This window comes from Homo sapiens, chromosome 18, assembly GCF_000001405.40.
Source record: "Homo sapiens chromosome 18, GRCh38.p14 Primary Assembly".
Lineage (NCBI taxonomy): Eukaryota > Metazoa > Chordata > Mammalia > Primates > Hominidae > Homo > Homo sapiens.
Genome location: NC_000018.10, coordinates 28,009,712 through 28,036,889, shown reverse-complemented (window position 1 = coordinate 28,036,889; position 27,178 = coordinate 28,009,712). Strand labels below are relative to the sequence as shown.

The 27,178-nt window shown below is 34.2% G+C and overlaps 1 protein-coding gene across 4 annotated transcripts in view; it reads left to right on the top strand.

The window, feature by feature from the left end:
* Positions 1-27,178, top strand: part of CDH2 (cadherin 2) — a 244,252-nt gene that overhangs the window by 140,241 nt on the left and 76,833 nt on the right. For 3 of the 4 annotated variants that reach the window (XM_017025514.3, NM_001792.5, XM_011525788.1), the window contains exons 3-5: positions 22,981-23,207; positions 24,898-25,044; positions 27,018-27,173. In XM_017025514.3, coding sequence (XP_016881003.1) covers positions 22,981-23,207; positions 24,898-25,044; positions 27,018-27,173 — 530 coding nt within the window. Of the gene's footprint in view, positions 1-248; positions 421-22,980; positions 23,208-24,897; positions 25,045-27,017; positions 27,174-27,178 lie in introns of those variants that run through there. The other variant, NM_001308176.2, reaches the window with a different exon arrangement.

Below are 27,178 nucleotides of genomic sequence, written 5' to 3'. Positions count from 1 at the left end.
TTTTTCCAAACAGAAGTGCTGTTTTACCCCCTTAAAGTTTATTCTTACGTTGTATTTTGTTTTGCAAACAGACAAAAGGACCAGTAGAGCTCAGGAAGGTTTTGTGTTGTGCCCAAGGTTGGGGGCAAGAATTTGAAAGGGATCAGTGAATCAGATGTAATAAGGGCTCTGTTTGAGCCACCCAATCTCTGTTTTGCTGACGGTCAGTATTCCAGTTATAAAAAGCTGCATCGGCATTTCCGTCAGCTCAAAAGAACTTTATCCCTGCTTTCATTCTGACATACCTATTATGACTTTGTTCACTAAGCAGAAGGAATTATGGGAAATGGAAACTTGATGGCATGTTTTTATTAAGGCGTTATGTGTGTATCTTCACTGAGAAATTAAAGAACCAAGCAGAATTGTATGTTTTCCTTTCAGGTAACAAAAATTGCCTTATTCATTCCATAACATGGTGATTTAGTTAACTTGGAAAACAAAGTAACATAAAATGAGAAGACTTATGTACAAAGTACATTTTATATTTTAAACAAGGAATTTAATGCTTATGTGAATTTCTGTTAACCTAAAATCAAACTAAAACATAATCACAGAAAACTGCAAATGTATTTTATGGGGGTGGGATGGTGATGATTTAAAAAAATGAATGTTACAAAAGCTGTATTTCACTCTTGTCTTCTCTAGAGTTGTAGGCTTAGAGAGTTGTACATCTGTATTTCAAAACAAGAGATACATTTTCAAATCTAGCTGATAATACTTAACAACAAACTGTATTTGCACCTTTTATTATAGCAGACATTCTTCTGCAAACTGCAGGCAAATTAACATTTACAAGCCAAATATTTTTTGTGGTAAAGTTTATACTTTCTGTGATACTCTATTTAATTATGTTATATAAATGTCAACTTCAGCTTTTAAATTTCTTAACCTAATTTCCCTAATCCCCACTAAGTAGATCTTCATCTTAATTCATATAATTTACTAGAGAAATTCTTAGATACAGGTGTGTCTTCCTTGCTGGTGAAATACATGCCCAATTCACTTTTATATTTTCAACTCGCTCACAGTGCCTGCCTTGTAATGAGACATACATATTCAGGCATGGAATGGACAAAGACAAGAGACTCTCATGCAGCTATGACAAAGAACTTTATACAATGAAAAACATTATTAATAGCTCTTTAAATTTTAATGCAGAGGTTTTTATTTTCATAAGTCTCTCATTTATTATAAGTGGAATTAACCTGTATTTAGTTGTCTAATAAATGTCATTTGTGTTACATACGTCTCCTTTTTTGTATCTACGCAGAGCTTAGTAAATTTTCCTAAAAATAAAGTTAAACAAGATGAATATGAGTCATCCTTAAATGAGAGGTCTCTGTTAACATAAAGTAACTTTGAAAGTCTGAAAAATGAAGGTTAACCTCATTAATTTTGTAAAAATTCGCCAAACATCAAGGGGTTTGAAAACACCAAGAGAAACAATAAGATATTCAGCAAAGTTGCTTGTTTTAAATTCTAAACTGTAGTCCCTGAAAAGAATTATCAAAAGGTAGTATGTGCATGTAAAATAGGCTATTAAAGCAAATGACTCTGAACCTGAGAGAAGGAATGCTGCTCATTAGAAACCAAAACTTGGAGTGGAATGTCTGTGTATGGCCATTATGATAAGAAAACTGAATAAAGAATGAGTTTATTTTATTAGAAACTTTCAAAAAGAAAGTATGTCATGTAAAGTTAAAGAAGAGCCTTTTCTGGTTTTCTTGCCACATATCTCCTAAGGAACTTTGTAGGTCTTCAGTTAATCTTTCCTGAGGAGCATTTATCCTACCAAAATGATAAACTCGAGAGAAATAATGGATTGCGTCCTTAGTTGTCTTGAAAGCTTAATTTTCTTTTCCAGAGTTACACCTGTTTTGTATTCCTTATTAGGTAGTTCCAAAAAACTATTTTAAAGAATTGTGCTCTAAAGAGTTTTCCCATTACCATTTGACATCCATTACTTTTAGAGGGGATGAGATATAGAATTTGGAACTTGAAGTACGGGTAGTATTGTTTGAACTTCAAGGATTTATACTCATTGTAACACCGTAGTTTTGAAATGACTGAAATCTGTTTCATGCAAAAAAAGGTGACTGGTCTATTCTAGGGAGTTGTGTTTCGTGTTTCAAAAGCTTGAGTTTTGTTTTTGTTTTTGTTTTTTTTTATTGTGGTTGTTGTTTTCTTTTTGTGATGACATACGAACTTTAGCAAAAGAAAAACACCTAGATTATAAATTAAAATTCATTAAGGCCTATGTAATTTTTTAACGTATTGGAAGGAAAAATGACAACTGAATAATTGCTATGATTTTTATCTGCAGCAATTGCTGCTCTTTCATCTGTAGTTCCTGGAATGTGATATTTGGATTTTAACTTTGCTTTGGGATATATAACTGTTTAAAAACCAGAAAAAAAATATATTTAAAACAATTTTATCCCTGTAGGTTTTCGCCTTTGCTTTTTTTCTTAGAAAAACCATTGTATTTTTCATAATGACTGCTCAGCATGAACAAAAGCAAACAGAACTTGAGCAGAGCTTTCACTGGTGATATTCACTCGGGTACTTGTTAAGATATCAAATCTGAGACTATAGCGTATGCATGGTTTTAGTGCCGTATGAGATATTAGCAGAGTAGTCATCTAGTGAGAGTCCCTCATATTACAGCTGAAGAAATGAAGATCCAAAGCTGTTGAGAGATTATTATCAGCGCAACCACGACCATAACTCGGTTTACTGGCTTTTAGTTCATTGCTCTTTTTATTTTTTTTCACCAAACCAGAAAGAATTGATAAAAAAATGATTATCAATGTAATTTCTTCCAATTTAAAGAAAAGTATAGTATATCAGACTAATCGAGAGTATGGCTCAATTGAGTATAAAATGATAGTGGCTTATTGAAGATTGCTTGTAAAATACATAAGACTACCATTGGCCTTTTTAATACAAGCATTTTTTTAGTATCTTTTAGCATTTATTAATAATTCATCTCATTAGATAGTGAGGTTACTTCTGTACTGTACTCCAAATTAAAGTGCATATTTAGTGCCCCTGTTGGCTGGACTATAATTTATACAAGGCATGACTGTAATAGAATGAATCTGATTTTTCTGTGTGACTTGTGGAATGAATCCTATTTCTTTATAATCACATCTTGTATATTATATTGTGTATTTTTGAATGATGCCTGTGTTTCAAAAGTGCCACTAATGGTCTTCCTCATATTAATATGTCAAACCAATGGGATCAGAAAATGGGGAAATTCTAAGCCTTTGTACAAAACCTACAATGGAATTTAAATTTTAACACTTAATCCTGCTGTCAGATACATCTGTTACACACACACATACATACACATACACACACACACAGAGCACCTAAATTCAGTGAACCAATTCGTGTGCATCAGTAATTAGATCTTTAGTTTGTGCCTCTGTTGACATTTCTCCCTTCAGACTAATGGATTTCAGTCTACCTAGAGACTGTTTTTCTCAATAAAAGACATTAGTCCATAAAAATCCCTCCCTACAAAAATAATACATCCTAAAACCTTGCCGAACAAATTTGCCCTTGAAAAAATACTTCCCAAATACTAATCATTGACAAAGGCATTGAGGGAAGAACTGCTGTGCTGATCCAGACACCACCCTTTCTCTACATATTGATATCTCTGTGAATGTACCATCACTGCCTGGCGTCCATGCCCCTGTTTATTCCGAAGCTGCCATCTTTTGTCTATACCCTACTGGGATTATGTTTATTCTTTGGTGCTCAGATCACAAGCCACCTGCCATTTCCATTGAATCTTCAGTTATTTCCCTTTCTCCCTTGAAATGTAATTATTAAGCACTTTAGTTTTGCCCATTATGTTACTTATTTTTAAGCCCTTTCCCCCTAAATTTAAACTCTTAGAGATCAGGGACCTTGCCATGTCTATCTCTATACTCACTGTAAATGGTAGATTAGGAATCATGTAGTTCATTTTCGTTGAGTGTGGGGCAGTTCAACAAGAAATGGAAATTTCCCTTGGTGCTAAAATGGAATGGGTGCTTCCCAGGACGCCCCAAAGAGCTTTGGGCATCAGTACCACCCACCACTTTCAATGTGACCAGGAAACTTACACTCTGTGACCTTTTGTTTTGCTACTTGTAAAGGTGGGAAGCCATTGTCTAAACAGCAAATAAATTTTTTAAAAGTACTTAAAGGATTTGAATCATTATAGATGATATCCAAATGAGATATTTTATCACAAACATTCTGAACTCATGACTTAGAAACAGTAGTAATGAGAGTAATATTTGATTACTTATCCTGTTCAGAGTATAGCACTGTATGCTACACTTTTATATTTACATAGATGAATTCACACATATGTAAAAAACATGTTAATGTAATATTGTTCCCAGTGCTGTTGGATATGAGGAAGTGGGTGCAATCTTTACCTTTGTCTTTGTTTTCTTATGTTATGAATCATTCAACACACATTCTCGTTGAAGCAGGGTTATAATTGATGGTTCAGATGCTGAGCCCACAAATTTCTTTGTGCCTAGTCCCCAGTTTTGAGAGGATGTAATACATATATGAATGAACCGTGGCTCAACACCAGACTGTTGTTGTTGGTTTTGTATATTATTACTGAGAAGCTAGTTGGAATTTGTTCATTCTTTGTGCAAGAAATTCCAGCGCTGTTTGAGAGGGAGTGTGATACATAGTCAGAGCTCAGACTGTAGGTGATCTGGGGCATCTTGGCCATAGCTACATGTTATGGTTAGTAGACCAATAACTACACTGCAACATCAAAACACTTTTATCTGCCACTTCTCCACTTTTTTAGATTTTATTGAAGAGAGTACTATACTACACCCCTCCCCTAGGCAGTTTGTGATTCACATCACTCATTTCTAGTAAAACCAGCTGAAAAATAAAACAAGGTCTCATGTTCCTTTTATTCATTATCTGATTTGACTGGACAAGTCGGCTCTGATCACCCATTGAACAGCAGTGTCACTTAAAGAAAAAGGAAGAAAGTTAGAAAAACTAAGGAAAAATAGCTTTAGCTATGAAATCTATAAAAGACAAAAATGAGCCTAATCTCTTATTTTTAACATGGATTTCGTCTCCTGCCTGGCTTTCCAAGTTCTCGTGATTCCCCTTTTCCTCTGTTCTTTCCTCTTCCTTCTCGTCCATTGTTCAGTATTTCAAATATACAAACAAGGCCCTGAAGCAGGACCCAATTTAGCTTGTTGGAGGAATCACAAGAAAACATATGTAACTGTAGAGACCCAGTGAGCTAGGAGAAGAGGAAAGAAGGATGAGGTTAAAGGGCCAGGGGCTTTGTTAAGGATTTTGTTCTGTGTGTAGTAGGAACCTTTTGAACATGATCCAGTTTGTTTTTCAAAGGCCACCGTAGATGTTGTGAAGAGTGGAAGTAGGAGATCAGTTAGAGTCTTCTATCTATGACTTATGCTGGATAATGACTGATGGTAAGATGTTAGCTGTGGAGGTGATGAGAATTGGTCGTCTTGATGATATATTTTGGAAGTGGAGCTGTTAGAACTTGCAAATAGATTACATTTAGGTAAGACAAGAGTTAAGCTCAACTCCTAGACTTGTAGCCTGAGCATTTGGGTGGAGGGTGAAACTACAATGGAGTTGGTTGTACAGGAGGAGGGTGAACCCAGAGTTGGCTTTCACATCTCTGTAGTTTGAGTTGCTTATTAGATTTCCAAGTGGAGATGGCAAGCAGGCAGTTAGATGTAGGATACTAGATCTCAGTGGAGTGGTCACGGTTTAGACATATATATTCAAGATTCATCTTGGTACAGGTGGTTTTTAAAACCTTAAGATTGGTTAAAATTACCTAGCATGAAAATATGGATCAGGGAAGGTCATGAGCTAAGCCTTAAGGCACTGAAGGAGATGGAGAGGGAGTCATCAATGGGATGGGGGAAACCAGAAGAGTACCCAAGGGAATTAATTTCCTTTGCAGTGTGTTAGGTTCTGGTTATTGATTTTTTTGTTGGCTTTCTTAAGCACTAGATTTTTTTATGTGTAATAATTTGGGAATTTCAGGCTCACTATGAATAAGATTTTTGTTTTCATCTCTCTTTCATTCTGCCTTTGCTCAAGCCCAGCCTCAGCCCCAGCCCGAGCCCCATTCTTTGGAGTCAAGTGGCATCCTAGCTGCTGTACCAGCTTCCTGTCACCTTCATGTTCCTTTACCCTGCAAAGGCTGAACTTCCACTTGTCCTCCACTTGTTCCCTATCCAGGCAGCAATTTATACTGGTTCATTTATGGTCCACTATCTTGTTTTTGATCCTGGCCAGGTTTTTTCTTTTGTTGTTGTTGTTTGTTTGTTTTTACTTTTACATCTGATTATTATTGCTGTGTATTTGAACAAGGTGATAGTTCTGCAGTGTGGACCTATTGTGCCATGCCATGCTCTCCAGAAGTCTTCATACCTCATTTCTATATGTCCTTGGTTTTATATCCCTACATTTTTTTAAAAAAGTCCTTTTTTTAGACAAAAAATTTACACTTAATACTTTTTCATTATTCCTGTTTAGGTGCGTGTTTTTTTCTGTCATTGTCCCAATTATCCACATCTGTTGTTTTTCTTCACTTTTATGCTTATGGAAGTCAAATGTCTACTGTAAGTTAGTTTTCCAAAAAAAATAGGATTTTTAACATATTATCTTGAAACATTAATAATGCCAGGGCTTTTAGGCAAAGGATGTAATTCAGACTAGTCTGCTTATTGCATCTATTTATCAGGACATTATAAGAATATTATTTTAGCCTAACTCGATTTGTTTTAGCTAATACATACAGATTGAGAAATGTAAATGGGGAGCAAATAATACGTGCACAGGATGCTTGCCTGGACATCATCTTAGTTAATGTAATGGAAATCCTTTAATACATGTTTATATATTTACACAGGGAGAATTAAATGTGAAAATTCTTTACCTCTGAAAAATTTAAAATACCTTGACCCTTTACAAGTACACCTAACAGCTGGACTAAGAGTGTGTAGCAGCATTTGGGAGGGGTCTGTGTGGAATTCTCCTAGGCAGAACCCTAGAGCAGCCGTGCACCTAAGATGTTTTCCAGATAAAACACGTGATGTGGAGCTGGAGCATACCTGAGATGGCCATCCTGTTACAGTGTATGGCAATTAATCCTGTTCACTTTGGTGTAATTAATGAGAATGGTGAAATAGAAGTGTAATCATTTCTGCAAGAGGAAATGTCAGCCCATTAATGAGAATAAGGATTATTATTGTCAGTTGAAGCAGTAACTATTCAGATTGCTGAGTTGGTGTGTTCACATAGGTAAGTGTTCATTTCAGGGTATAACAAAGAGAGGGAACATTTTTCAAGAGGATTAAAAAAAAAACCAATGATGGCATTTTGACATGACTGCAGTTGTGGACACTAATAAAAATTTAGTAAGCATAAAATGTAATTTCTAAATAAAAATAACTGGCATTTTAAGAGTCTTACCCAAAGTCAGACATTTTTACATGTATATAAAATTAAGTAACCTTTAAATTGCCTTTTATTATTGTTATGTTACTACATTAAAAGTGGAATCCATTTCTTATTATGTGCCATATACTACTTGTGCTTGTTTTCTTTGTGGCTCTGTATGTTAGACCTGAGTGAGTTGAACTGAGTCTGAGAAATACTACCTATCCCTTTAGATTGTTGGAAGAATATCTTCCCTACTAGAGCAGCTTTCTAGGGTTTATGCAATAATTCTTTGAAAAGTTGGAAAGTAGTGAACTGAGATAATCATAAAAAGATGCATTGGGAAGCCATGATTTTTTCCTGGTTACATGATAATATTTCACAAATAATAAGGCATCAGTGAACTTATATTAGAATTTATTGATTGTTTTTAGTACTTAAATTCTATTGGCAGCTTAAAGATTTCATGTCATTGCTTTGAATATCTTCATTGCCTTTGTGAAAGCATAGGATTATTGCTGAAATTTTCATGGAATTCTGTATATGTTAAATACTTAATACACATCAGGTTGCCAATGTTCAGAAAATGTAAGTAGCCTTTAGAAATAATGGGGTTTGGATATTTCTTTTGTTAAATTCTTATAGTTTACTTGAATAGTACAGCTTTTCAGCTTACAAAGTTCTTTCCAGCAGCTAGTGATCTTTTTGTTCAATTTGCAGTAAATATTGGGAATTCACATTTTAAACTATCAGTTATGTATTATGATGGTAAATTTTCAAGACCTGTTTTTTATATATATTATTTCTTCATGTATGATCCTGACCTTTTTCTCCTAAAGAATAAGCACTTCTTAAATTGTATTAAGTATTTAGGATGAAATCTTATCCTTTTGTTTGTTCTGTAACTTTACTGTCAGCAAATGATTTGGGGTTTAGTAGTTTAATAGCCCAGTGGACTTTAATTTTAGTTAGTGTGGTATCACATCATACCAGTGGGGCTAGTGTGCTTAATGCACATCATGTTCTATGAACCTCTTTTTTTAAATTCAAGTTTCACAAAACAGTAACGTACTTTTGTTCTTTGGGCTACCTGTATCTTAGTAAGTTGGTTACTCAGGGGACACATTTGTTCTCAATGGTTTCTGTAGCACATTTTGAGGCCACATTGTGGAAATTCATTGAGAAACAGGTTTAATTTAGTTTAGGTTTTTTTTTCTTTTAGAGTGTTATCTTTGAAAATGCCAATTAGCAAAATGTCTGTTATGAGTAAAATTCATGTTGAAACTCTTCTTTTTCTTTCAAAGTTAACAAAAACCTGTTTTAAAAATTAGGAATTAGATTTCTTTCTTTGTTGACATAAGTAACCAGAAATATGGAGCTAACTAAATTACATCAAATTTCAGAGACTAATAATGATACAGTTGGGAAAAGGGAGCTTCTACGCCACCTGTACTCTGAAAGACTAATTTAATTAGAGGTAGTGATATTTCAGTGTAATTTGTTAATGGGTACATTCTGCAAAAAAAAAAAACAAAACAAAACTGCCTAAGCACTGATAATTTTATATATTTTTAGCTGGATTCTGTCAAAAGAAAGAGTTTTCATTGAAATATTTCGTAGCATAGAGATGCCTGGAGGAAGAATATCAATGAAGTGAAGAACAGCTTAAAAACTTTTGAGTTATTAGAATGTATACAAGGGAGAACACAATAATCTTGCTGCTTTCCCAGTAGTTTAATATATAAAATTGTATGCATAGCATTACTAGACTACTGAAAGCTAAATTTTATATTTTTGATACCATAATTATTTTTCTATATCATCCCTACTGCTGTTTTGATTTTTTTTCAGTTTTGTATTAAAGAAGAATAACATAGCACGTTATTTCTTTCTTTTATTTGTGGCAACTTGTATATGTTAGTTAAATATGACATGACTTTTCCTGGAAAGGAAATGAAATAGCAGCTCCTAATAGACTTTGTAATATTTTGGGGAACATTATAATAAAAACTTTTTGGTAGGGAAATATCAATACTTGTAGTAATTTGAAAATTTTTTTTTTTGAACTTAACCTACAACAAGTTTGATTCTGATTTATTTCATTTTTATAGACCTTTTGTCCTAATTTTACTGTCTTGTTGTAGGTCACTCAAGCTGAGGCCTTATTAGACACGATGGGCTAGGATGTGCCACACTAACAGTTACCACCAGTTTTCTGTGTTTAACACAAAAACCGATATTCATGCTAAGTCCATTGTAGATATGGATGACTCTCAGGGCAGTTCTCCATGGGGGTGGTTCACTCATCCTGTGGGCTTGATCTTGTATTACCTCCAGCTGGCCCGTTCTTTCATAATTACCAGAAAGAATGACCACTGCAGGGGAGGAGGGCATCAACTTTTAAATGCTTCTGCTGTAAAGTGATATGTGTCCCTTCTACCTGCTGATTCTGTTGAACATGTCGTCATGCTTAATGTCAAGGGAGATGAGAAGTGTAATCTTTCTGAATATCTAGGAAGGGGAGAAAAACTGAAGATATTTCTGAGCATCACTAATGCTTACATTTGTCTTAATATTTAGCAGCATGGCAAGTAGATCCATGTGTCTGAGCTAGAATGCCATGAATGGAATACAGGTATGCTACAGATACTCACTGCAACTGTTTTTTAGTTTTTAATGTGGCTGCTAGAATTGATGAAATAACATACATGGCTGACATTGTTTTTCTGTTGGACAGCATTTGCCCTCCAGGCCATCAGCAGGTAGCTCCTTGGGCTGAGGAAGAATAATTTCCAGGTATCAAGAGAATGATCTCTAGGAGAGTGGTGGTGATGTCAGGCTATGGTTGTTCTAGCAAGGACTTGGCCTGCCTACCCTTGATACCTCTGTCATTCTGGTGTGATCCCTGGAAGGCTGTCTATAATTATACCTACTCCCCACGTCTGCTACCATGTTCAAAAGACATTAACCAAGATTTCTCAGCCTGTTCAAGCCACCATCATGTTTTGATCCAAATAGCCTTTACATTATTGATAGACTAGAAGGAAAGTTTGGTAATGGAGAGTAAAAGGACAATAGTGGGAAAAGATTTTGGCTAGAACTTCAGTGGTCTCATTTGATGGGCAAATCAGTGCCTTAGTTTTATCACCTGGCCTCCCAGGGGGAAGTAGAAGAATCAAAAGAAAATGACATTATTTTGTTGAAATGCTACATGGCACAAACAAAGCATGGCTGAAGACTAGACCAGGGCTACATGAATTTGGCTTCTTCTCTATGATTTAAAGTTTCACAGACAAATTCTGGTTTCTAGCTTTTCATAAAGCATTGACTGGCCCACAATACTTATTGGTGACTTCATAGCCACTAGAATCCATGCCCCCCATGAATGATTAAGATATTAATTAGGTAATATAATAATGATCCCATCAAATTAGAATTCATGTGCCCTTGGGCTTTTTTATAGTGTTAAAAATGTGAAGACTTTTTACAATAAAATATATAAAAATTAATTCACAACAGTTAAAATAATATTTGAAGGGATAATATTCAAAATCGTATATGCACTACTAAATATATACTACATTGTTATTTGCCATAGCTACCCTATGTTATAATAGAACCACGAAACTCATTCTTCCTAACTCATAAATATTTAAAGTGATGGCTATGGTAATTACCCTGATTTGATCACTGTAGTACATGTACATGTATCAAAACACCACACTGTACCCTATAAGTATGTATAATTATGTGTCAATTAAAATTAATAAAAATAATAATATTTACTCTTATGGCTTGCTCTGAAAACTTACTGCAATTGCAAACGCTTATTATTTTTATTATTATTATTATTTTTTTTCTGGAGACAGTCTCGCTCTGTCACCCAGGTTGGAGTTCAGTGGTGTGATCTCGGCTCACTGCAACCTCCACCTCCCAGATTCAAGCAATTCTCCTGCCTCAGCCTCCTGAGTAGCTGGGACTACAGGTGTACACCGCCACGCCTGGCTAATTTTTTGTATTTTAGTAGAAACTGGGTTTCACCATATTGCCCAGGCTGGTCTCGAACTCCTGAGTTTAGGCAACCCTCCTGCCTCAGCCTGCCAAAGTGCTAGGATTAAAGGCGTGAGCCACTGCGCCCAGCCTATTATTTTCTGTTATTTTTCTGAATAAGACTTGTGTAGACCCATTGCAAGAGAGGTCTCCTGCATAACACTTCCCCAGATCATCTCCCTGACCAAGACCTCACTCATGGAGCAACCACCACAAAATTTCCCAACTTTCCCACCAAAATTCTTCAGTTAATCTCATCACAATTTTAATACCAATGTGTTTATCCTCAGTGAAGATTTTATGCAAGTATTTGTTTTTCACTATTCTAAAATAGAAGTTATATAAATTTTATCATTTACTGTTTTAGTGTGGTATCAGAAAATTATTAATTTTGTAAATTTTCTTAATTGCTTATTCTGTCTTCCCTCCCTTTTTCTTTTTACTCTTTCTTTGCTTTCATTTCTTTTTTCTTTCTGATTGGATTTCAAGGTTAACAATTAGTCAAAAGTCTTATTATTGATGGAAATCAATAATTAATTTTGTGTGTTTTAGAATTAAAGTGTTTATATTATGTTTAAGATACACATTTTTAGAAAAAAACTCCTTTCAATTAAATTAGTTGATTTCTCTGGACACTAAATTACTAAAGAGAACAGTAAGTTCCAGAAACTGATGGTTTTCAAAATATATTTTGGTTATCTAGGAATGTAGAAAATGATTATATTGTATATATTTTTAACTTTTAATTACTAAATTAAATTCTAATTTAGATTGCTGTATGTTTAATTTTGAAGCTTTTTATTCGCTTTATTTTAAAGCATTTAAAATGCAGATAGTCTTAACTATATATTTTAAATACATATACTTACTTTATATTATTTATATATATACTTTATATTATTAACAAATAGATTTTCTAGATTTGTACATGCCTACAATCTGTTTTGTCTTAAGATTTCATTTCTACATATGTTTATTTTCCCAACACAAAGGATATTTTGAGAATAAATGCTGAAAACCTCTGAGCATCACTAGAATCCACCCCTCAAATTATTAAGATAATTGGGCAATATAATGATGATTCTCTTAAATTGGAATTCATGTGCCATTATAATTATTCTCACACATGGAGTAAACATTTCATTTGCATGCAAAAGTGATGAAGTGAAGCTACTTGCATGACACATTTTTGTGGCAGTCTACCCCAAAACAGCCATCTTAGACGTAAGTAGTTTTGAATTCTCTTACACAAAAAGTAAGAATCCTTCTTTATGAGATTATATACAGCACTATATGATCAAGTTTTAAAAGCCATCTTTTACAAGGTTTCACATATAATACTAAGCCAAAGTGCTTCCCTGTTATATGGAATTTCTTATTTTACCAGCCTATATGTTCACTATCAGTAGTAGACTGGAAACAAATGAAGCAGAAGAAATAGAAAAGGAGCCGTGTTAGCATAATGCTATCAGAACAGGCAGTGAGGGCATGTCACACATCGTAGTGACAACGTTAATCAAATAGATTATTAAATTTAAAAAGTTATTGTATATTGATGACGTTAAGACATTAGTATAATTGCTAATAGACTTTTTAGAATCCTTGAAGATCATTATTTATTCTGAGCAAATCAAAACAAACTTCTGTAGATTATGTATGCAGGGAGGCAAATAAATATTCATATTTCATGTTTTAAAATATTCATATTGGCCAGGTGCAGTTGGTCTGTAATCCCAACACTTTGGGAGGCCAAGGCAGGTGGATCACTTGATCCCAGGAGTTTGAGACCACCCTGGCCAACATGGTAAAACCCTGTCCTACTAAAAAATAACAAAAATTAGCTGGGCATGGTGGTGCACGCCTGTACTCCCAGCTACTTGGGAGGCTGAAGCAAGAGAATCACTTGAGCCTGGCAGGCAAAGGTTGCAGTGAGCCAACATCACCCCACTGCATTCCAGCCTGGGTGACAAAGCAAGACTCTGTCTCAAAATGAAATAAAATAATTCATATTCATACATGAGGCTGGTGCTCTGGCCCTAGTGGCATGAAGCTATAAAGGCTATAGATGATATGAAGGTGTAAACATCAAGAGTTTCATCTGAGATGAGTTTTACTCACATAGCAGCTCTTGTACATAAAAGTTTGCTTATAAATCGTGATTCCATATAAGGTCATATATGAAAATATGAATCTAAATAAATCGCTAGAGCTTTATTCAAAGATAAGGGATTAGATTATCACATTTACTGATATTTGCCAATGTGTACACAAGCTGTCTAAAAAGATACCTTTTTTCAAGAGTTAATTAAAAAAATACATTGTGTGTTTAAATATTACTCTCTTTAGATTTGTTGAAGGAGAGTTATTCACTTGAAAAAAGATAGCTTGCTTACCAGACATTTTGGAGCACCTGAATGAACTTAATTGAAAATTGCAAAGGCCATATAAAAATATTACACACACAGAGTTTATAGATATAAAGCAAAAGTTAAACTTTCAAAAAAGGATAAAAATGATTCACTTGTGTTATTGGTGTTATATTGAAAACCTAAAAAAAGTATTAAAACTATTAGAGCAATCCCTGTGAATGTTTGAAACTCATTATTTTGAAGTACTTAATAGGAAAAATTTTGAAAAACATTTGCATTTCCAAAGGACTTTCCACATTACATTTGTCTTTGTAAGTAAAGGAAGGACCATGAACTTTAATAAATTTAGCCCTCATGGCTCATGACAAGAAAGAACTTTCTATTATTTGGAGAAAAAGTGGTAAATACTCTACTGCCCTTTACTCCCACTAACTCTTGTTAATAAAGTTTTCGTTGATAGTAATTAAGAATTTGATATTTCAATCAGGAGACATACAAAGGTATTTTGTGAACACAAGGTCAAATTTATCATTAAAGATTTAAAAAATATTTCAGTTGGAAATTTTATGCATATTAGTTTATATATTCCCTAATACTCTGTATTTGTTTTCTTATCATAATTATATGCTATAAAGAAAATGGAATGACTTTTTTCACCAAGCTCTGTATAGACATTCTCAACCTGTCTGTAAAACTGTCCTGTTGTACATGTGTGGAAAGGATTGGTAAGCCCTGACATGGCAACTAAATTATTCTAGAAAAAAAAAATCATTCCTGTATGAAATTTAGAAAGGAACTATTGTGGCAAAATGTTACCTAAGCAGATTTTTTTTCAGATTTATGAGCAAATTCGTTATGTGGTGACCATTCTCCATTGGAATATATATGTAAAAACACTGTGAAACACTTACTGTTGTGGCAGTTTCTCCCTACCTTCCTCCCTCCTAATGCCTTCATTAATTGAAATCTCATTCATTAATAAATACTGCTCTGTGGCTGTGGAAAAGAAACTTTTGTTAACACTGTGAAACTATTTCTATTTTCTCAATGCCTTTGAAAATAGCAATTAGTATGGAAAAAAATAAAAAGTCAAAGATACTTAGACATGAAAATATTTGAGTGTTCTCATATAATTGTTTCTAAATATGGTATAATGTTTACTTGAGCAAAAATTAGAAACCATATGTGAGTATTTCCACATTTTCATTCATTTGGTTTATGTAGTGCTGTTAAATGCTAATACATTTAATATATAAGATCTGTGGTTTCTTGTTAATATTTTATAAGGATATTATGGTTTTATGGTTAACATCATTTTGAGGTATTACCTTCAGAGCAAAAAATTTCTTTAAAATAATTATTTCCCTGGTGATTAATTTTATGTTCATCATGTTCACACAGTTTTATGTGGGCTAGAACACAATAACTACATCTGATATATGTAAACTATGCAATATCTCTAATAATAAATTTGTTGTTTAATAGTATGATTTTTTTTGCCATAATCATTTAATCGTGTATAGACTTAATTAATCCAGAGGATCAAGCCTGTTCTTTCAGTTGTCTAAGGAAGCGTATTTTCTTTTTTCCCATGTTATGATATTCTGGAGTTTCTACTTGAGATTATCTGAGCATAAGAAAATTTAATGTTGATGGAAGGAAGGTTGTTCTCTCAGGAAAAGATGTTCAAGCCAAATTTTAAAATCGTTTTTGAAATGAAATTTTAACTGTTTATATGTGTCTGTTAAAATAGCATAACTTTCATTAAATATCAACTCAGTATATTCATACTTAGGATAATTACATAAAGGTATTGATTCGATTATATTATCCAACTCTGACTAATACCAGCTTGAGGCAATTCAATGGAAGTCATGTTTGTGAGAGATTGGGGATATTGACAACGAGACAACCATCCATTCCTTTAAGTTATATCTGATAATTAGCATGTTTAACCATCATCTCTAAGAAATGTTATACTTTTTCAACTTAATAAACTTTACTTCTTGGACCAGTTTTATATTAGCAGAAATACAGAGTTTCATATATCTCTCCCAGTACTTGGTTTCTCTGTTGGTAACATCCTGCATTAGTGTGGTATATTTGTTACAATTGACAAATAAATAACAATGCATTATTATTAACTAAAGTTTCTAGTTTGCAATACGGTTCATTCTTTGTGTTACACAGCTCTATGGATTTTGCCAAAAACATGGTGTTATGTATCTACCATCATAGCATCATACAGAATAGTTTCACTCCTAAACGTGTATTTTAAGATAAATTTGTCATCATCTCTTCTTGAAAGCCCATATATTAAAAATAATAAAACTGCTTCATATTTTGAAAAATAAAAGTTGAAAATCTTGTTCATTATGGTACTCAGAGTTCTGTACCTGCCATTCATAAGGAAAATGTTTTAATAACAGAAATAGGTTGGCTCCAGTGGACTATGTATTTCTCCTTACAGCAGTCAAATGTCCATGATATTAGCCTTATTTTCATCATCAAAGTTTAATTTTTGAAGCTAATTTAAATAAAGCACGTCCCATGTATATCTTCTCCCTTTCACATCGTTTCTATGTACTATTTTTATTTTTAAGCCTTAAAGTCTTTTTGAAAGGCTATGAACTAAAAAATATATAACTTATAAATTAAGTATATATTACTGGTATACCTAAGATTCTGTAACTTAACAGTTTTCCACTTTTTTCCTATTAACTTTTAAGTTTGTGTAAAATAAACAACTTGAGTAAGTTTTAGTGTTTGTTCCTAGAGCAGAGGTGAATCTTGTCAAATTCAAGAAGATATTCCTAGCTGCATCTAAGTCATAGGTGAACCAGACAACAGGCAATAAACCTTGACCAGTGGATGATAAATGGAATTCACATGTTATCCATTGAAATTTGAAAGCTTTTTAATTTGTGTGACTTGCAAATAATAAAATATGATTCACATGGAAGAAGCATATAATCATGAGCCAGGTACCATACATGGATTGCTCCAAAACCACAGGATCAAGTCAGGACTAATATTTCATCAAGGAGAACTTTTTCAGTTGACTTAGTTTTATCTAAGATATTGACCCAACTGATTAAATATACAAAGGGAATTGTGTAATACACCACATTCCATAGAGCCTGAATAATGCCAAAAGATTTTGTGTATTTTAATATTTGAGCAAATGAGAATTAGCACCTGTTTTTAAAACTCTGAAAATCGTAATAACAGATATATTAAACCAATTCATATTGGTCATAGGTTAGGGGCAGAGGTGATAGAAAAACCAATTGACTTTAAATGACTGACCTTTATACAATTTCTTCTAAAGTGTTTTCTCTAGTGTCAGACTCTCTTAGGTCAACCTCTTCTCATTCATAGGATGTGCAGTAAGTGACTTTTTGCAAATGCGTTTTTTGCAAAGTCCTCCTTCTTTCCTCCCTCAAGCACTGTGACACCTGAATCCAAATAAGTAACAGTACAACATTAATAGAATAAGTGCCAGTGACTATGAAATCCCCGCTTCTGTCTGTCAAACCCTTATCCTACCTTTGTTTCTCTTTTTCTTTTCTTTTTTCTTTTCTCTTTCTTTCCTTCCTTCCTGCCTTCCCTCCTTCCTTCCTTTCTTCTTTCTTCATTTCTTGTTTTCTTTCTTTTCAAAAAATTACAATAGGTTTTTGGGGGAACAGGTGGTGTTTGGTTCCATGAATAAGTTTTTTAGTGGTGATTTCTGAGATTTGGATGCACCCATCACCCGAGCAGTGTACAATGTACCCAGTGTGTAGTCTTTCATTCCTCACCCTGCTCCCACCCTTTCCCTGAGTCTCCAAAGTCCATTGCATCATTTACACCTTTGCATTCTCACAGCTTAGCTCCCACTTATGAGCGAGAACATAGGGTTTAGTTTTCCATTCCTGAAGTTACATCACTTTGAATAATGGTCTCCAGTTCCACCCAGGTTGCTGCAGATGTCATTAGTTTGTTCCTTTTTATGGCTGAGTAGTATCCCGTGGTGTGCATATAAATATATAAATAAATATATATATACACACACATATATATGTACATATATATATATATATATAAACGTGTGTGCAAGTATCTTTTTCATATAATGACTTCTTTTCCTCTGGGTAGATACTCAGAAGTGGATTTGCTGGATCACATAGTAGATCTACTTTTAGTTTTTTAAGGAATTACCACACTCCTTTTCATAGTCATTATACTAGTTTCCATTCCTACCAGCAGTGTAAAAGTGTTCCCTTTTCACCACATCCATGCCAACATCTATTATTTTTTTTATTATGGCCATTCTTACAGAGTGAGGTGGTATTACATTGTGGTTTTGACTTACCTTTCCCTGATAATTAGTGATGTTGAGCATTTTTTCATACATTTCTGTTCCATTGGTCTATATGCCTATTTTAATACCAGTCATGCTTTTTTGGTGACTGTGGACTTATAGTATAGTTTGAGGTCAAGTAATGTAATACCTCCAGATTTGTTCATTTTGCTTAGTCTTGCTTTGGCTATGTAGGCTCTTTTTTGGTCCCATGTGAATTTTAGTATTGGTTTTTCCAGTTCTGTGAAGAATAATGGTGGCATTTTGATGGGAATTGCATTGAATTTGTAGATTGCTTTTAGCAGTATGGTCATTGGTCATTTTCACGATATCGATTCCACCCATCCATGAGCATGGTATGTGTTTCCATTTGTTTGTGTCATCTGTGATTTTTTTCAGCAGTGTTTTGTAGTTTTCCTTACAGCAGTCTGTTGCCTCCTTTTTTTTTTTTTTGTAGCTATTGTAAAAGGGGGTGAGTTCTTGATTTGATTCTCAGCTTGGTCACTGTTGGTGTATAACAGAACTACTGATTTGTGTACATTAATTTTGTATCCTGAAACATTGCTGAATTTACTAGTTCTAGGAGCTTTTGGGATGAGTTAGAGTTTTCTAGGTACAATCATGTCTTCAGCAAACAGCGACAGTTTGACTTCCTCTTTATCAATTTGGATGGGCTTTATTTCTTTCTCTTGTCTGATTGCTCCGGCTAGGACTTCCAGTACTGTGTTGAATAGAAGTGGTGAAAGTGAGCATCCTTGTCTTGTTCCAGTGTTCAGGGGGAATGCTTTCAACTTTTCCCCATTCAATATAATGTTAGCTGTGGGTTTGTCATAGATGGCTTTTATTACCTTAAGGTATGTCCCTTCTATGCCAATTTTGCTGAGGGTTTTAATCATAAAGGGATGCCAGATTTTTAAGGTCACACCTTAAGGAACTAGAGAAACAAGAACAAACCAAACACAAACCCAGCAGAAGAAAAGAAATAACCAAGGTCAGAGCACAACTATATGCAGTTGAAACCAAAAAAGATACAAAAGATAAATGAAACAAAAAGCTGGTTATTTGAAAGATAAGTAAAACTAGTAGACCGTTAACGAGATTAACCAAGAAAAGAAGAGAGAATATCCAAATAAGCTCAATTAGAAACGAAACGGGAGATACTACAACCAATACCACAGAAGTACAAAAGATCATTCAAGACTACTATGAACACCTTTACATGCTTAAACAATGAAATATACAGGAGACGGATAAATTCCTGGAAGTATACAACCCTCCTAGATTAAACCAGGAAGAAATAGAAACTCTGAACAGACCAATAACAAACAGCAAGATTGAAGTAGTAATTTAAAAGTTGCCAAGAAAAAAAATTCAAGGACCAGACAGATTCACAGTTGAATTTTATCAAACATTCAAAGAATTGGTACCAACCCTATTGACACTATTCCACAAGATAGAGAAACAGAGAATTCCTCCTAAATCATTCTGTGAAGCCGGTATCACCCTAACCAGGAAGGGACATAAGAACAACAACAAAAAACTACAACAGAGCAATGATGAACATAGATGCAAAAATCATCAATAAAATACTAGCTATAACAGAATACAATAGCATAGCAAAAAGATAATCCACCATGATCAAGTGGGTTTCATATCAGGAATGCAGGAATGGTTTAACATCTGCAAGTCAATAAATGTGATACACCATATAAACAGAATTAAAAACAAAAAATAACATGATCATCTCAATAGACACAGAAAAAGATTTCTTTTTAATGCGCTATTTACTGTGGTACTCTCAGAGGTCTAAATTTGGCATTATTCTCTTCGTATGCATTTTTCAGATCTTTTTGTTAATTTTATTGTTTTATATTAAAGCTTTAGATATGAGTGACTTATGTAATGAGTTTAGATTCTTTTGCACTTTTGTATGGGAGTAAACCGCTGGAAATCAAACAGCCATGTGCATAGATGACTTGAAGTTTTCATCCTCATCTGCAGAACAGAAACAATGATTCCCACCTCAGGAGTCATTTTTAAGGTTAACATGTGACATAATCTGAAGTGTCTTTTTCAGTGCCTGGCATTCCATAAGTATTAATTCATTTTCTTCTACTACCAACAACCTAATAAAAAGTAGAATTTTTTGAAGTCCCTGGGTTTTGTTTGTTCATTTGTTTGTGTTGCTAGATGTTACTATAGTAGGCTGTGTGTACTTCTAAGGTTCCCATCTGTTTCCTACTTTTTGAAAAAGTTGTAAGATATTAGTGGATATTTAATGAGCACTTATACTGTTCCTGTGACCATCAAGTGTCCTAAGAAACAAAAGAAGCAATACTTAACTCTCATGAAGCCAAAGTGAGTTTATAGTCTGCTTAGGGAGAGAAGATCCACTCATATGAAATTATTAATAACCATCATTATAACTATTATTATTATAAACATAAAGTATCAGTGTGTTTCAGTGGACAGGAAATACAAATAAAAATAAAAAATTTAGAGCAGTTCCAAATGAGGGCATAGGCCGAAATCTTGTGAAAGGCATCATGGTCGACTCTTCCCCCAAAGTGATGACCTGGCCCTAGGGCTTTGGTATGGAAAATGGGAGTGTCCCAGATAAGAATTTGAGCCTGTGGGGTGGAGCAGCACGAGGTAGGGGATGACTGCAGCCTCTCTCGCCAGGCAGTATATGTTTTAGAAAGTGGTGTAAGTAAAACTGAAGAGACCAGGTGACCCAAGAATTAAGAGAGCATTGTACTCTAGGTTAAAGATCTGACATATAATGTTACAGATTTTAAGCAGGGAGGAGAAAATCACAGCAGGTGTCTAGTCTAGCAGTGGGCATGCCATGACCAGGAACTGGGAAGACTACCCAGGAGGCTTATGTAACAGTCCAGGTGTTTATGGATGACAATTAATAATACTAGAGTGATCACAGTTAACAAAAAAGTGTGCAGAAGAGTATGTAATTTTTCTATTCCAGATTATGTTTTTAAGGACCATGAATCCCTCTTGTAATATAAAAAAGTACTTTTTATACAAAAATATGGCAAAAGTCTCGTTTTGATTTATCAGCAGGGATCCAAAAAACAATTTTACATTTCATTTTTTGTCTTTAATGAAAGATGAGCAGTAGATGGCATTGTTCTGTAGAAAAGATTCCCATTTTTCACTTTTAAATCATGGGGCATGGAAGATGGAGTAATTAAATATCTTTTGGGATACTTCTACTCCAAAGACAAACATTTTGACTTAACATCATTTAGTTTGAGATATACTTTTATTTTCACTTTGAAATGATTGAAATATGAAAGATAATATAGATGGCATTATGTGGAAAATAATATATTCAGTAGTTAAAGTATTTTATGACTTCTATCAAGGATTTTATGGTTACTAAGGGAAATAAGCATGCCTGTTATTTAGATGTGGCTGTGTGCACGTCTCAGTGAATTTATTCTAATGACAGCAGAAGAACTGTCAGCAGCTTATATGTGCAGTGGGAGGGTTCATAAACACTTTACTTAGATCCTTGAGAAATGCACAAGGTGTATTTGATTATATTTTGTAATATGTCGCTATTAATTACACTCCAAAGAGTATCCTATGTAATTATAGCCAGAACATAACATCAGACGTTTACAGAAATAAAAAAATCATTTTTTATTTGATCCCTTTACTTGCTATTCCCATAGAATTTTTCTTCAGAAAGAACAATTAAGGACTTTAAAGGAATAATCTTCCTTAGAGAATATTTTTGTTTTTATTATTTTATTACATCTTGAATTTGTCTAGTTCTACACAAGTTCATGGTTTAATTTTTGTTTTATTACCTGTTGAGACAAGCTGTCATAGCATTTAAGACAGCAGTAGTTGTTTTTTTTTTAAGTGTGAAGTCATTGCATGTATGATAGAGATAAGACACATTTTTGAATTCTTCTACTCTTGTCATCATTTTTTTAATTTAAAATTTCTTTTGGGATACACCTTTATTTTTATTTGTTTAAAATTTTTTAAATATGTTACTGCTTAATGGAAGTACTGTAAGCACTAAGAGGAATAGAAATTTGTAAATTATTTACCTGTTAATTACCATAAGGTCTTACAATTCTAGAGCATAGTAAACATTCAACATTAATAAATGCATTGCTTTCTTCCTGTAAGCATTTGTTCCGAAATTATGTATTAAGACTGTGTGCCAGAAAGTATGCAGGGTATGCAGGATAACTAAGAACATTTGCCCCAAACTGCCTCTTCCAAGCAGTGTCAGACATGACTAAGAAACTGAGGTAGCAGAGCTCAGATCACTACATGAAGACTGAGAAAAAGGGGGTTTGTTCTGCTTTGAGTGACTTTAGACCTGGGACTGAAGAGTGAGTGGAAGTTTGTAATAGGGTGGGAGGAAATACCAGTGAAAGGTGTCAGGGTGAAAAGCAGGTGCACCTGAGGACCCAGTGTCCAGGAAGTATGAAAAGAAGGGGAAAGCTTTGGAAGAAGGAAATGCTAGGGCACAGCTCAGAACTACCATCTGGCATTTCATAGTATGAAAATGCTTTTGATATAATAAAATAAAAATAAAACTTCTGTGTTTCATGCTACTGTATTTTTATCCTTTAACCTAAGCAGGATATAGGTTTAAGTATTAGGGGTTTTTTTTTGCCTTTTTGGTATAATTATAATAACTGACCTATTTCTTATCTTTTACAGTGAAGTTTAGCAACTGCAATGGAAAAAGAAAAGTACAATATGAGAGCAGTGAGCCTGCAGATTTTAAGGTGGATGAAGATGGCATGGTGTATGCCGTGAGAAGCTTTCCACTCTCTTCTGAGCATGCCAAGTTCCTGATATATGCCCAAGACAAAGAGACCCAGGAAAAGTGGCAAGTGGCAGTAAAATTGAGCCTGAAGCCAACCTTAACTGAGGAGTCAGTGAAGGTATAGTATCCGAATATGGCTTTAGGGCTGGTTAAAAATCAGCTTTATACAGTTTGAACTAAATATATGCTTTGCTTCAGACCACATTAATGGATGGCCACTATTTGCATTTGTATCAACTTTGGTCATTTTAATAATATTTTGTTGTGTTTGTAATCTCTTAAGATACGTAGACTAAATATATTTTAAGCAACTAGAAATTGTATTTTAAAGATTTGTTTATACTTTGAGATTTATAATTTAAGTTAGAAGCAGTTTGTTTTAAATTTCTTAGAAGTTTTACAAGCTGTTAAATAAAACCACAAAATAAACAATTCTTTACAAGATGTCATCAGTCAGATTTATTAGATGAGAAGTACAGATTTAAAGTAGTAACAGGAAAACATTTCTGGCAATGAGTATTGGGTTTTTGTCTTGTCCCTTAATAATCCAGTTGGGGGGTATGAATTATTTATACTACCAACATGACTTTTTAGGAATGATATACTCCCTCTGGTGGAAGCTGCTGTGAGCCAAGATAAAATAAATGAGGTACATTTCCAACAGAGTGCCATTCAGTTCAATTCAACAAATATTTATTGAGCACTTAATTTGTATAAGTCATTGTTCGGAATTTTAAATAAAATACAGTAACTTCAGTAACGTTATGATAATATTTTCTGAATATTTTAGTTTTTTGAGTTAATTCAAAACAAATATGATGGGACACACCCATATATTCTGAAGTCCATGAACTATGGAACTATGACTACTACTTTTTTTATGCTTATTTTACTGTGAGAGGTAAAAACAGACACATTCATTTCTGGTATTTAATTGTAAATGTGATATACATACCCACAATCAAACATGAATAATATATCAGAGGAAAATATATCATTTTTCTCTTATTTCAGTGTTGTGGTTTTATTATGTGAAATTTAATTTGTTAATCTATTAACTGTTGAGGGAAGTCATGTCATTGGGTAATATAAAGTGAAAACCCAGTAACTAATGGAGTGAAAAGATGCTTTTGTTGTTGATTTGCTGTGTTCCAGCAAACTAGCTTGGATATTTGCACTGAAGCAGCAAGGGCTAATGGCTAAAATGTCTACAGATAGAGGAAGAAACAGAAGAAAATGTTGACATCCAGCAGAGATTAATACCTAATGTGCAAAGTGGGTCATCTGCAGCATCCATCATGGCTGACATAGGTTTAGAATAATTACAGCATTAATTCTGTGGGATATAATAGGGTCATAAATATTTGAGACATTCCTTAGCAGTATGTATTAAACTTCTCTTGGAATTCAAATTATATTTTAGCACATCAAGATCTAAATTTAATGTACAGTAGCACATTACCTGAACTGTGGTTTAAACTAATGAGAAATATATAAAAGGGTACTATTAAATTTTGCTCAATATTAACTGCTATCTAAAAAGGTTTATAGAAACTGCAAATAGTTTACACAGCTGTGCCATATAATAAATTGTTTAGAATTCAATTTTTCAGATACACAGTATAACCCAAAAATTTTATGGTATTTTTCTGTTATTTTAATAGGGGGCCAGGGAAAAGGGCCTCCAGACTTATTTTTTGTTCATAATAAACTGTGATTCCTATGCTTTCAGGTATTCAATAATATTGATGTACTTTCAGAAAATGTGTTTCCTAGTACTCAGGAATGTCTTCTATTTTAATGTAAAGGAGTCAGCAGAAGTTGAAGAAATAGTGTTCCCAAGACAATTCAGTAAGCACAGTGGCCACCTACAAAGGCAGAAGAGAGACTGGGTCATCCCTCCAATCAACTTGCCAGAAAACTCCAGGGGACCTTTTCCTCAAGAGCTTGTCAGGGTAAGGTGGCACAATTTTAACTGTTTTCATACCACAAGACAAATGTATGTTAAAAATATTTCTGTCTATTTTTTTTACAAAGTAGAATTTATGACATGTATATACTAAAAGTGTTTTTCTATAAAGATAGAATTTCTGTAGTGTTGTAGAAAGCCTCTTCTCATTTTCTTTGTTACCTTTTGGATTATTTATAAGTAGAGCTCACTTGTAGGTCCTGCACACTGTGGATTAGAAAGCTTGTTCAGTTTGTGACTACACAAGCCCTAAAGCCAACACATATTCCCAACCATACCATTTCCACTCTCATAACACACACACCCCTAAACTTCCCTGTCTGAAAGCTGGGCTCTCTGTGATGATCTTTGCCCTCTACAGATGGTTTTTGGGCCACAGAAAAAATAAAGGGCAATCATTGTTAAAAATGCCAGCACCAAATGCATTTGAGAGTTTTTTAAAGAAAAGAATGACCTCTGATACCATTAACAGAATCCCCAGGGCAGTGTAAAATCATAGGCTTTCAAATCTGAGGAGTAAGTTTTTTTTTTTTAGTTATTTACTCTAGATACATACCATCAGCTACAGAAAAAAAATGCAGATATTTTTGCATTTTAATAAACTTAACCCATTATTTATTACAAAAGTATAGTAAGACAAGGCTGCTGTATTCCCACTTATTAAAATGTAAATGTTTCTGTATATGATTATTTTAGCATTCTAACACATACTTACTGAAAGCCTTTTTTTTAAAATAAGCCGCTTTAAAATATGTTGTATATTCTGTCCTAATGTACATTATAATTCACTTTAACAAAGAATGTAACTCTAAATTAAGATACTGTCTCTTTTTCTACTTTAATGAAGTTTGAGAGAAAAGGGAATTTTGCTTTAACTTAAAAAAAAAAAAAACAGGCAGGGCACCTGTAATCCCAGCACTTTGGAAGGCTGAGGTGGGCAGATCACGAGGTCAGGAGATCAAGACCATCCTGACTAACACGATGAAACCCCGTCTGTACTAAAATACAGAAAAAAATAGCTGGGCGTGGTGCTACTCGGGAGGCTGAGGCAGGAGAATGGCATGAACCCGGGAGGTGGAGCTTGCAGTGAGCCGAGATCATGCTACTGCACTCCAGCCTGGACGACAGAGTGAGACTCCTTCCCCCCCCGCAAAAAAAAAAAACCTAGATTTTATTGATGGATTAAGTATAAGTACCTAATACATAAGGATCTCTTATTTTTCTCTGTACCTGCCTCCCTTCGTCCCCTTCCATAGCCTGTTCTGTCTCCTGTGACTGCTCATACATTGACTTAATTTTCTTGAGAGTAGTTGTATTTGGAGAAGGCAGTGAGCCTATAATGATATAATGTTTGCGAGCATAAAAATATATTTTAAAATGCTTTCTTTTGTGCTTTATTATTAATGAAAATTTCAGGTGTCACTTAAAATGATACGGAAAGCTTTGGTGCGCAATGAACAGTGTTAGTACAATGCAAGTACAGAAGTCTGACATTCAGGGTCAACCATAACTGTATTAGAGTTCCATTTGAGTATATTTCACACTATGGATAGACAATTAATTCTTGTTGTTACTGATGCAAAAAGGTAAATAATGTTTATTTTAATGAAATTGGACAGCTCTTACTATGTTAAATCGTCTAACCTAGAAACTCCCAGGACAGAGTTTGATTGTTTAAAAACTCTCACTTGTAGATTTGGAACTTTTGCACTGCTCCTAGTGAGTTTTCTTTTAGATGTTAATGTTGCCTCCAGTCTTTCTGGTGATAGATGACATCTCTTTTGAAGCCTGTCACTGAGAAGCAGAGGAAGAACAGGCACTAGGAGAGTTTCAGTGATTTTCTGGGGAGAGATGGTATAAGTTTGTAGCTGAAAAAGGGCATGAAGTGTGATGTGCCCCATCTCTGATAATGAGCTCATTTAGTCTCTCACTTAATGTCATTGTTTTCTTGATCCTCAGATCAGGTCTGATAGAGATAAAAACCTTTCACTGCGGTACAGTGTAACTGGGCCAGGAGCTGACCAGCCTCCAACTGGTATCTTCATTATCAACCCCATCTCGGGTCAGCTGTCGGTGACAAAGCCCCTGGATCGCGAGCAGATAGCCCGGTTTCATGTAAG